The sequence below is a fragment of the Homo sapiens genome, chromosome 8, assembly GCF_000001405.40.
Source record: "Homo sapiens chromosome 8, GRCh38.p14 Primary Assembly".
Classification (NCBI taxonomy): domain Eukaryota; kingdom Metazoa; phylum Chordata; class Mammalia; order Primates; family Hominidae; genus Homo; species Homo sapiens.
Genome location: NC_000008.11, coordinates 8,815,717 through 8,828,608, shown reverse-complemented (window position 1 = coordinate 8,828,608; position 12,892 = coordinate 8,815,717). Strand labels below are relative to the sequence as shown.

At 45.1% G+C, this 12,892-nt stretch overlaps 1 protein-coding gene across 2 annotated transcripts in view, besides 1 other annotated feature; it reads left to right on the top strand.

The window, feature by feature from the left end:
• MFHAS1 (multifunctional ROCO family signaling regulator 1) overlaps positions 1-12,892 on the top strand; it is a 110,277-nt gene that overhangs the window by 65,022 nt on the left and 32,363 nt on the right. The gene's annotated exons all lie outside the window — the stretch shown is intronic.
• Positions 6,358-6,900: an enhancer, noted in NCBI's record as "H3K27ac-H3K4me1 hESC enhancer chr8:8679219-8679761 (GRCh37/hg19 assembly coordinates)". NCBI's record gives its function as "activates a minimal SCP1, AML or CMV promoter by ChIP-STARR-seq in naive H9 embryonic stem cells {active_cell/tissue: H9 hESC(naive)}" and the evidence as "EXISTENCE:reporter gene assay evidence [ECO:0000049][PMID:30033119]".

Below are 12,892 nucleotides of genomic sequence, written 5' to 3'. Positions count from 1 at the left end.
TGGAGTGGTCTAGTTGATATTCCCCTTAACTGGTCGTGTCTGAAACTGAATTGCAGGCTCTAGGTAATGGTGTGAGCAATGTGGACTAGGGCCCGGGCTGTTACCTTCTTTCTGTGAAGACGGCCTAAGATACAGTATGGCCCTGCGTCTTTGAAGGCCATCTGAGAACACTGCAGCTTCAGACTGCCCTAGGTCAGAGCTACTGGCAGTGTCCCAAGGAGGCCTTGGCATGTGTTCTGCCTCCCCACTATTTCTCTTCTGTATTTGATGGCTTTGATTTCACCGCACCTAAGTGTAAGTTCAAACTATATCCTATTAGACATTATCTTGTTAAACAGTTCCTGTTGCTCCATGCTTTTGAGATGTTTTTTAATCTCTGGTTTCATCCTGTTAATTTATTCTCTTGGTTGTAAGCGACACAAATGATTGACGAGTTCCCTTGTATATTTGCATCAGCATCATTCACTGAAACATTCTCGAAGGTAGGGCATATGTCAGAGTCCTGGCAGATGTAGGCTGCTTCACACTGTGCCTCCAGATTGGGAAAAGGTGGCATTCCTAATCACCGGGGGAAGTAAATTCATCAATAAATGTGGTTTAGGACAGCTGAAGAGCTGTTAGAAAAAAAAGGGAGCTGGGGTCCCTCCAACATTCCTTAGATAAAAATAAACTACATAACAAAGAAAGTCTCTTAAAAAAAAAGAAATTAAATTGTCTGAAAGATTTAGACTTAAATAATGAACTCATAAAAATTATTAGACGAAACATGAGTAAATTTTAAATATATCTTGGAATGTAGACAGAAGACTTTTTTCCCCCCAAAGCGTGTCACAAAACACAGAAGCTGTAAAGAAAAAGGCTAACTTTCCTAAAAGAAAAATTTCATGAGGAAAATTTAAAGTTCTGTTGGGCAAAAATTCCATAAATGTGGTCAAAAAACAAGTAATATATTGGAGAAAAATATTTGCAGCCTATGTGTCAGAGCTAATTCCTTTCACATGGAAAGAAGTCTTAGAAGTCAATAGGAAAAATGAAAAATGGAATAGTTAAACCAATGTTCATTGCTAGAAGTGAGCTTGTGAAAACATAGTAAACTTCACTTTGTTTAAAAATGCAAAGGAAAATAAAGAGGTCTCATTGTTTTCATCTGTGAAATTGGATGTGGCTAAGTCTGATAATACCCACCTTGCTGGTGAAAGGATGAGAAAACAGACATATTGAGTTGACCAGTGCTGTTGAAGGGCATTTCTACAATATCCTTAGACTAGAATTTAAAAGGTTCGTATTCTTAGACTCAGTCATTCCACTAATGACCCTGTAAATGTTTTCCAGCATGTACACAAAAATAACTACGCAGATATTTGTAATAATAGCATTTATACTAGCAAAAAATAGAGGTAGCTTATATGACCATCTGTAGGTGTCCAGCAAAATATTGTGTAGTGTTAAAAATGGCACAATTCTCTACGTACTAACTAGGAAAGGTTCAGGATACTAAATGGAAAAGCAAATCACTATGCATAGGAGGATGTTGTGTTAAAAATTAAAAAGATATACGGGATATCAGTAAGGAAGATATTAGCTATAAATTAACAAAAATGAAGGGAATGTATTTACCTTGTACAACAAGACATCTTCATATGTCAGCAGTGCAGGGTTGGGACAGGGTCTCACTATGCCATCCCTGCCTCAGATGCCATCTTTCTCCTCTGCGGTACTAATTATGTGGGTGTGTTTCCTTATGGCAGCAAGATGGCTGCACTGTACCGGACCTCACATCTGCATTTCTGATGGAAAAAAGATGTAAGGAGGAAGGTAAGAAGTTGGAATCGGAAAACCCAAAATATTTCCAGAAATGTCCAACCAGCTCTTTTTTGAGATGGAGCCTCACTCTGTCACCCAGGCTGGAGTGCAGTGGCGTGATCTCAGCTCACTGCAGCCTCCACCTTCTGGGTTCAAGCGATTGTCCTGCCTCAGCCTCCCGAGTAGCTGGGACTACAGGCGCCCGCCACCACGCTCGGCTAATTTTTGTATTTTTAGTAGAGATGAGGTTTCGCCGTGTTGGCCAGGCAGGTCTTGAACTCGTGACCTTAAGTGATCTACCCTCCTGGGTCTCTCAAAGTGCTGGGATTACAGGCGTGAGCCACCATGCCTGGCCCAACTTCTGCTTACATTTCATTGGCTAGAACTATCCCATGGCTACCCAGACCTTCAGGGAATCTGTCAAGGCAAAAATTTTGATTAGGCACGTGTTCTTCCCTGACACACAATCCAGAGTTCTGTGAATATGGAAGAAGAGGAGAAGGGATATTGGGTAGGCAGCAGTGTGCGACACACACACACACACACACACACACACACTCTTTGTGTTTGCATGCAGTATTTCTGGAAGGCGCCTGAGAAATGGGTAACAGTAGTTACCTCTGTGGAATAGACTGGCCGTCAGGAGGAAGGTGGACATTTATTTTTCACTTTATAGTGTTCTTTCCTGCAAATTTTTTAAAAAAACAATGAATATGTGTTAACTTTAAAGGAAGGAAGTTGATAGGAAGCTGACAACTATCCATTATCAGAACCTCTTGGGTACAGCTGTCCAACCAGTTACTCAGAACCAGGTCATTTAACCTCTGTGAACTTCAGCCTCAACTGCAAAATGAGAGGCTAGAATAGATAGTATCTTAGGCTCCTTCTACCTCTGAGCCTCCTCCAGTTAATTACACAATCTCCAGGAGCTGAAGGAGAGAACTAAGAGTCAGCTCCTTTAGCAAGAAAAGACATCCAGGATTTTAAACAGGTTCTTACTTAGCCTTTGTTATGGCTGAATTGTGTTCCCTCTAAAATTCATATTTGGAAATCTTAATCTCCAGAAGGTAGTATTTGGAGTTAGGGTCTTTAAAGAGGTAATTATGGTTCAATGAGGTCATTAGGTTGGGCCCTAATCCAGTAGGACTGGGGTTCTTACAAGAAGAGGAAATTTGTACCCAAACATCCTCAGAGGGAAGGCCACGTGAAGACACCGGGAGAAGGCAGCCACCTGCAAGCAGAGGAGAGAGGCCTCAGAAGAAACCAACCCTGCCAGCACCTTGATCTTGGACTTCCAGACTCCAGAATTTGAGAAAATAAATACCTGTTCTTAGGCTGGGCATGGTGGCTCACACCCATAATCCCAGCACTTTGGGAGGCTGAGGCAGATGGATCACTTGAGATCAGGAGTTTGACACCAGCCTGGCCAACATGGTGAAACTCTGTCTCTGCTACAAACACAAAAATTAGCTGAGTGTGGTGACGCACACCTGTAATCCTAGCTATTCTGGAGGCTGACGCCGGAGAATTCCTTGAACCCGGGAGGCGGAGGTTGCAGTGAGCAGAGATTGCGCCACTGTACTCCAGCCTGGGCAATAGAGGGAGACTCCATCTCAAAAAACAAAAAAACCGCAACCCTTTTCTTTAAGTTCTCCAGCCTGTAGTCCTGTGTTATGATAGCCTTAGCAAGCTGATGCAGTCTTCTGTCCCTTTACACTTTGTGAGGGGAGCTCTGCATTTTGCAGAATCTCTAGGACAGCATGAGATTGCACTGACTTAGCTACTGCCTCTATTCCCTTCCTTGGTGAAAGCAGGTCCCCTAGGAGTCTAGCCTGGGAACCTGCAAATGCTAAACGTGGCCTGGGGGCAGAGAAGCGCATCTGACTGGAAGAAGCAAATCTGTTCCCGTGAGGCCAGCGCAGCCTTCCTCCAGGGTGCGATCGCTGTGCACACCTCCTTCCTGGGTTCCTTGGGGCCTTGCCTCCAACTTGCTTACCTGTTCTCTAATCTATTTTCTTTCCTTGAACTTCAGAATTGATGGATACCCTGTCTCACTCTAGATTCCTTGCCTGGCTTCTGACCGCTAAACCCATCTGGACTACAAATGGTTTATCTTTTAGAGATGATCTATATCTCTTCAGCTGGTGAGATTTGAGGGCAGGATCTTATGTTACATGAGTGACCTTCTTATAGATATTGGCAAGAATCATTTTCTTCTTCTGATGGAGCAGAAAGGGGTGTGTGTGTGTGTGTGTGTGTGTGTGTGTGTGTGTGTGTGTGTGTGAAAGAGAGAGAAAGAGAAAGACTTTCATTGCCCTTTAAGCCCTCACCCTAGCACTGCATCTGAGCCAGAAGACTCTGAAATGGCCTGCAGTGTTCCAGGCCATTTAAGGGAGACTGGATCTTTTCTGAGGCTAAATGAGGGCTGGTTTTCCTGTGCTGGAGTGGGTAAGGACTCCGGGGTACCCTGTGTGCTTGGAGGGAGGCAGTCCTGTATTTCTTAAGATGCTTAAGAAGATGCAAGATGTGAGATGCTTAGATGATGGAAGGTGAGGAGAGATTGGCCTCCAGGCATCCTGCTCCCCGCAGAGCCCCTGAGAAGGTGGCCTTATTTATGGAGTTTGCCTGTCTGTTTACTGGCTTCTTCTCAAGGGAGCATAGAGGACCCCACTGGTCAGGTGTCAGACAAAAGAGCTGTACGGATGCATAGATTTAGTTCTGCCTCACAGGCAGGTAGCCTGAGCTCCTAGGGGGAACTGTTTTTGCTAAGTAGGGAATGAAAAGCATGTTTATTTAAGCACAAAATTAAATCTCTCCTATTTTTATATGATTTCCCGTTGTTTTCTTCCCTGTAGGGAAATCTGCTGTGATAGAGAACTGCGTAACAGGCCTTTTCTGTGAGCGCTCACTCATACATTATGCACGACGTGGCTAAGATCTTTGAAGCGCATGGAGACAGGCACATCTCTGAGAGGCGAGATTCTTTCTTTTCTCAGCCCCCACTATCTTCTGTGCTACATCAGAGATGGAGCACAGCCACCGTGGGTCTTGAAATTTCGCAGGTGATGCTCTTCTCGGTGACCTGTGGGTTCATTACCTGTGTCAAAGACTGAAGACGGGAGAATTAGGGAAGTGGTGGCCTGGGAGAACCAAGGACATGTTTGTGTGCCCTATTTAGGCGATTGTTCTACTTCATGCTAAATTTGTGAGGAGTTTTATGAAGCCTAGAAAATTAAGTAGAAAATATATTTTTACAGTATTTTAAGCTGGAACAGACTATTTAAAGCTCGAAGAGACCCTAGAGATAAACCAGTTCAGTCTCTTCCTTTTGCAGTAGAAGGGACGAGGCCCAGAGGACTCACGGTGTTTCGGGAACTTGCAGGGAGTTAGCGCAGCACCAGGATCGGAGCGCGGGGCCCCGTGTCCAGCTCCTTACTCTTTTTGTTCTGGCAGCGATGCCCACCGGGCCTTCACAGTACATTTCTCTGGATACAGAGAGAAACATTATTCATCTGAAAGCAAGGCTTCAGAAGCTGTTTTTATAATAATTTGTTAGAGCCACATAGTAACTTGCAAATAAACATTTACAGTTAATGAGAAAAATGGATACCCCTGAGAAAAACCGTTTGTAGTTACTGTGTTCTAGTCAGAGCTCTTGAGCTAATTTGAAAGGAAAGTCAGGATTCTGGCAGGAGGAGAGCTATCCCCAGATTCCAAGGATGGGGAAGAGAATCTCTGTATGGACTAGAATTCGAGACTGTCCTGTGTCCCTCTGTCTCTCCTTCCCGGTCTTCTGTCTGTGTCCTCTGTGCGGGATCCCATGCCTGGCTCTGTTACCCTCCCTTCCCGCCACCAGCCTGTCGGTACCTCCTGTCCTGATTTTCTGGTTTTCAGTCATTCCAACCCCTTCTCAGTTTCCCTGACTTGGTCCCTGTGCCCGTCTCAGTCCCCCTGACTTGGTTCCTGTCCCTGTGTCAGTCCCCCTGACTTGGTCCCTGTCCCCTTCTAAATCCCCCTGGCTTGGTTCCCTGTCACCATCTCAGTCCCCCTGACTTGGTTCCCTGTCCTCATCTCAGTCTCCCTGACTTGGTCCCTGCCCCCATCTCAGTCCCCCTGACTTGGTCCCTGTCCCCGTCTCAGTCCCCCTGACTTGGGTCCCTGTCTCCATCTCAGTCCCCCTGACTTGGGTCCCTGTCTCCATCTCATTCCCCCTGATTTGGTCCCTGTCCTCACCTCAGGCCCCCTGACTTGGGTCACTGTCTCCATCTCAATCCCCCTGACGTGATCCCTGTCCCCATCTCAGTCCCCCTGACTTGGGTCCCTGTCTCCATCTCAATCCCCCCTGACTTGGTCCCTGTCCCCATCTCAGTGCCCCTGGCGTGGTCCCCTGTCTCCCGCTCCATCCCCTGCCCCCATCTCTGTCCCTCTGCATCAGGCATGGTCACGTCTCAGTGCCATCTCACCCTCTCCCTGAGGACTCGCTCCATTTTCCTCTCCCCTCAGACCAGCTTGCTCTGCAGCTGCGCACGATGCAAATGACCGCCCCAGCCTCTCTTGGCTTCAGTCCCCCACCACAGACTAATTCTATCTCTCACCCCAATTTCAAATCCCCAGGGAGCTGTCTGATCTGCCTGCTTCAGCTCCTCTCAGCCTGCCTGGTGCTGCCGCACAGAGGAATTGGCTGCCCGTGGCCGGGTGGAGAGTCCTCGTCTTGTGTGTGGCCAGGGTCTCAAGGCCTCATGCTACACACTTGCGTATAGCATCTCGTGCAGGCTTCACCACAGTCTTACGAGGCATGCGGTGACCTTGCCCTTAGACGTGTGCACTCAGGCCTAGAGCTGTCAGAGCCATTTGTCGAGCGACCCGCTGCTAGGAGATGGCAGAGCTGGAGCCAGACCCCAAAGCCAGCGCTGCGCTGTTCTCCTTTTGACGCGGGCTTATCCACAGTTAATCAGTGATTTCCTCAGATGTCCACATGCTCCTACGGTGACTAAACCCAGCTGTCTTTTGCACATAGTTGGAAAAGTTACTATTAGGCACCTAGACTAGGTTTGATAGCAATAGGATTTTATTAAAACCTTGATGGAAAACCTGCGTAGTATCTGCTAACATCTTTGCATGCTTGGAGGCAGAGGAGGATTTAATATACATCAAGTCTGTGTAGCAACATCAAAGGAAGATTTAAACACTGCTGGCTTTTTTGTGCGATATTTAAAAAGCACCCCCCACCTTTTAAGAAAATGTGAAGTTCTGGCATAAATCAAAGTGTGATTAATCAGTGATGATTGACTGGTATTTTCATAACCTGTGGCATTAATAACAACTTTGTATGGACATAAGAGTTGTAAGCAAATTTGGGAGGGAGGTTACTGCTTCATGCTATTCTCCATGCCGATCTTCGATCTTTGTACATACTTACTTGCATTCTGTAAAATTCGGCGTGATGAAATCCAAGAACCAAAAATGCAGGGTGGAAATAGGCTTAGTAGTAAGTGACCTTCTATTTCCACTTCCCACCTCCTTGTTAAGATTCTTTGACCTCCTGCCACAGGGGCCTTAGAGGCATCCTGTAAGCTTTGCACAGAAGCTGCTAATCCCCCGGCAGGCAGTTCAGGCAGGCAGTTCATTCCGTTTCCACCTGGCAGCTGCTCCCTCTGACACCCAAGGACTCGCAGGGAGTGGCCGTTGGACCTGCAGACCCCTGGGAACAGGCAGGGGGAAGATATGTGGAACTGAGACCCAGAGGCCTCCCCACTTCCCTGTGCTGACTCACGTAGGCTGTCATCTCTGTTGGCTTTTAAAGGAAGAGGGGTAGGAAGGACAGTGAAATTAGAAGCATTGCCAGGTCTTGCTTGAGAGCTTCTCTCTCTCACTGCTGCTATTTTTTCTTCATTAAATGTGTGATGTGGGTTTGTTCAAAGCATCCAGTGGCTCTCCACTTAGATCATTTAATTCCACGATGCAAATGGCAGCACAGCTTTGGCCTGGAATCATGCTTCGCACTTGGTCAAGGCCACCTTTAACTGCCTGGCCAGACGGCTAGAGATTTTCCCGGGGCACCCCTGGAGTTTTTCCCATCCTGACTAGAGATAATCTCAGAGCGGGAGCCAGCCCCAAGTGAGAGGGCCTCTGAAAGACCACAGGATGGGAACATGGACGTGTAGCCTCATTTCCTCAAGGGGATGCAAGGAGATTGATTAGGCAATGGGGGATTCCATGAAAAAAAAATTCATGATATTAGTCTACTTACGTAAAATTGTTTGGGTGAGCACGGGTGGAGGGGCAGGGTGGGGAAGAGAAAGACATTGAGATCAAGTGAATAAAGGAATTGGGACCAAATACCATTCTCACGCTAACCTGACTGTCAGATGAAAGAAGAGAATGTTGCAGTTATGCTTATGGCTTGATTCTGCTTGGAAGAAAAGAAATCAACACAAAAAATTCCTGATGTGTGCATGCGCTTTTGGAAAAAGGTGTAGGGAAGGGCACACAGCAGTCTAATCCTGGGGACTTGAGAAGGGGGAGCACAGCAGTCCCAACCCTGGGGACTTGGGAAGGGGGAGCATAGCAGTCTAACTCTGGGGACTTGGGAAGGGGGAGTAAGGGAAAGGATTATATTCTTTTCTTTGCACATCTTTATATTTATTTCCTTATTCAAACCAGCACTGTTAATTTTTGTAATTAAATAAATTTAGAGAAAGACTTTTTAAATGTGAGAGAGCTGTTCTGGGGGAAAAATCAGAACAAAAACTAAATTTACACTGGGATTGTTTATTTTAAGTTTTGTGTTTCATAGATAGTCTGTATAGACTGGGTGTGGTGGCTCATGCCTGCAGTCCCAACACTTTGGGAGGCCGAGGCGGGAGGATAGTTTGAACTCAGGAGTTTGAGACCAGCCTGGGTAATGTAAAGACCCCGTCTCTATCAAAAATAGAAAAAGTCAGCTGGGCATGGTGGTGCGCACCTGTGGTCTCAGAAACTCGGGAGGCTGAGGCAGAAGGATTGCTTGAGCCTGGGAGGCTGAGGCTGCAATGAGCTGTGATCATACCACCACACTCCAGCCTGGGTGACTCAAAAGGTACAAAAGGCTCTTTGGGGAAAAGGAAGTTGTCTGTTCTGTCCACAGCCATGTATTTCCCTTTCTGGAGGCAGCCACTTTGGCCAGATTCTTGGATATTCTTTTTTTTTTTTTTTTTTGTTTTGAGTTGGAGTCTTGCTCTGTCGCCTAGGCTGGAGTGCAGTGGCGTGATCTTGGCTCACTGCAAGCTCCGCCTCCCGATTCACGCCATTCTCCTGCCTCAGCCTCCCGAGTAGCTGGGACTGCAGGCACCCGCCACCATGCCCGGCTAATTTTTTGTGTTTTTAGTAGAGATGGGGTTTCACCCTGTTAGCCAGGATGGTCTCGATCTCCTGACCTCGTGATCCGCCCACCTCGGCCTCCCAAAGTGCTGGGATTACAGGCGTGAGCCACCGCACCCGGCCAATTCTTGGATATTCTTAAAGAAATGCTCTATGGTTTAAAAAATCTAGAGATTTGTTTATAATATATATATTTGCATGTATATAATGAGTAGGGAGAGAAAGTCTCCCACCCCAAAATGGTAGTAGAATAGAAACAGTGTTTTGTATGCTTTTTAAAAGTTTAATATATACACTGCAAAATATTGATATATAGAGAGCTGTTTGATTCTTTTTTACTGGCCACGTGATATTCCATTATATAAGCCGACTTTATTTAGCCAGCCTTCTATTGATGAGCATTTTGATTATTTTCAATATTTTACTCCAGAAACAACACTAAAGACTCGAGATTGTATTCTTTGACACATGTTAGTATATCCGTAGAATAAATACCTTGAAGCAGAATAATTTTTCTCCAAAAAGGGGCTACAAATAATACACTTCCTTCAGAAACATGTGAAAGTGCTAGATATTCTTTATAGAACAAGGTCTGCATTGGAAGTGGGATGAAATATAATGATAGCGACAGGGACTTTAGAGAAGGAAGTAGGAAAGTCAGGGCCCTTGCAGTTGCTTCTCTCATAGACACCTCTCTTTCTAGAAGATATTTTTGCCCAAACTTTGGTTTTTATATTTCAGGGTAACAAGGATGTGAGGAAGGAAGTCAACATTGAGTGAGTTGCTATTATGTGCCAAGCCTAGGGTTAAGTCAGTTGCAAGTATTGTTTAATTCTTGTAGTGTTCCTATAAGGTCCATATTTGGCATTTACTATCCACAGAGCACAGATGAGAAAAATGAGGCTCAGGAGGCTAAGTCAGTTCCACAGGGTTATCCAGTGGATAAATGGCAGAGTCACCTTTCAGACTTCATGAAAGTACTCTAGCTTTTTACAGTCCTTCTCCTTCTCTTCCTCGTAGAAAAATAGAAATCTCTGTAGCTCTTGCTTTGTGAAGGATCTGGGGATGCATGAACCAGGAACTAGGTGGAAGACCAGTTTCACCTGAGGTTGACCTGTGATGTATGACTTTGCTTGTACTTAAGAAGTCACTTTTAATAAGGTTGTAGGGTGTGCAGAGAAAATTTACTGTTGGATTATGTGGATTGTCTTCAACCACAAAGGGCTGTGTTCCAGAAACTCTTCTGAGTCTACTGACTTTAAAGGAGAAGAGCCAGCCCCGAAGTATGACGCTCTGAAAGCTGGTCAGGTTTCAAGGTGGACCCACAAAGCCCACCTAACTTAGAACATTCTGAAAGAGTATGACGTATGGGTGGCCATGATTTCTTGGTGTTCTTAGTCCATAATGGGATGCATAGGTGAGAATGTATGTATAGATACGGGCTAGAGCAGGGGTCCTCAGTCCCCGGGCCACAGACCAGTACCAGTTCATGGGCTGTTAGGAACTGGGCTGCAGGGCAGGAGTGAGCAGTTTCATCTGTGTTTATAGCTGCTCCCCGTAGCTCACATTTCTGCCTGAGCTCTGCCTCCTGTCCGATCAGCGGCAGCATTACATTAGGTTCTCATAGGAGCTTGAACTCTATTGTGAATTCTGCATGCTAGGGATCCGTGCACTCCTTATGAGAATCTAATGCCTAATGATCTGAAGTGGAACAGCTTCATCCAGAAACCATCCCCCTCCTCCGCCATCCCTGGAAAAATCATCTTCCACGAAACTGGTTTCTAGTGCCAAACAGGTTGGGGACTGCTGGGTTAGAGCCACAGCAAGGAGAACAGGAGGGGCGAGAGCCCCCCCATCTGCGGGCTGGGATGGAGTCCAGGGGCACTGCGGCAGCACTCGAGGCTGCAGCAAGGCTGGGGCTGTGGCCAAGGATACAGGGCAATAGGTGGCCTCTTAGGTGGAATTGTTGAAAGCCTCAGAGAGAGCACTGTGAGGAGGAATGAGGCCATTTATTATTTTTGAAAGTCAAGTATGTGTAGGTTGGCAACTGCCCATACTTTTTATTTCAAATGGCTTTATTAAGCGAATTACCTCTGATACAAATGGACGTCAATTAACAAAGAGCTTGGAGGTAATTTAATGTAATTTCTCAGCTCAAGAAATCAAGTGCTTTTTTTTTTTCCTTTCATAGAAGCCAGGGTAAATTTTCTCATAGCTGACAGAGATTATTATGGTGGTTACTCATTTTATCAGAAGTGATGTAATATCCAGTTTAGATGGAGAGAGGATGGTGCTCTTTGGAGCTAGTTTTCGGAGTCTGCCACTAGATTGCTGTGTGCTTCTATACTGAAAGCAGCCAGTGTCCTGATCTCTAATTACCCTTAGCCTTGGTGTCTCTTTGACATTTCGAGGGGGATAGTGTTGGATGAACTAAAGCTCGTGTCTCACTTTTAAGTTACAGTTCTCTGAACCTTGTAAACAGGTAGGGAGTCATTTCCTGAGGCTGAAGAAGAAGAGGAGAAAGAAGCCACGCTTATATATGTCTTTAGTTGATTAGAGATGGGTAAGAGTATGTTAACCTTGGCTTACCTTTCCCTAAATGTCAGCTCTTACATGTGGGTCCTTCAGTCAGTAGGTGTGTTTCCATGTTATTGCTACTCCTTCAAAGTTTATAACCATCAACTATGTTTAACTACTTTGACCTACTGATATAATAACCATTGGTAGGTAGTGTCATCTACCAATTATTATTAGATAGCATCTAGTATTATTAATATGAGAACTTTCTACATGTTTGCGTAGAGCTTCAGCTTGAATTTCATCTCATAGAATATACTTTTTTTCTTTTACCAACAATACAGTAAGGCACAAATGAAATAATCATAAATATTTCACAGAACGATGCACGCTTATATGGCATTTCTGCCTGTGTGTGCATTTGATCTATGAGATTCCCTGATTCTTTAGCATGAAACTCATGGGATATGATCAGTGAAATTTGTCCCGCTCAGAATCTGTCAAGCATTTTATTTTCTTGGGGAGGATGGTCATGCCATAACCCCAATTGATATTTCTTGGTGATAGTTTAGGTTTTGGGTTAACCATAGGGTTTTGTGTTTTTGTTTGTTTGTAATTGAGATATAACTTGCACACAGAAAAATGCATAGTTGAGGGTCCAATTTGATAGATTTTGATATATACATACACCCATAAAATCGTCACCCCAGACCCCATCATGAGTATGTCCATCACCCTCACTCCTTGCTCACTTCCATTCCTTCCTGGCTCCCATCCTCACCCCCAGCAGCCACTGATCTGCTTCCTGTCACTCCAGCTTAGCTTGCATTGTCTAGAATTTTGTATAATGGACTCATCCACTATGCACTCTGTTTTTGGTCTGGCTTGTTTTACTCAACATAGTTATTCCCAGGTCATCGATGTTGGCGTATATATCCATGGCTCATTCCTTTTCCTTCCTAGATAGTAGTCTATTGTACGAATATGCCACAATTTGTTTATGTGCCGACCTTTTAACGGACACTTGTATTCCTTCAAATGAGGGAGTTTCTACTTTTTGACTACTTCAGATGAAGCTGCTACAAGTCTTTGTATGGATATATGCTTTGTTGTCTGTTGAGTAAATATCTAGGAGCGGCATAGCTGGGTAACATGGTAGGTGTATGTTTCAACTTTTCAAGAAATGCCACCCACAGTGTAGGAGAGTTCCAGT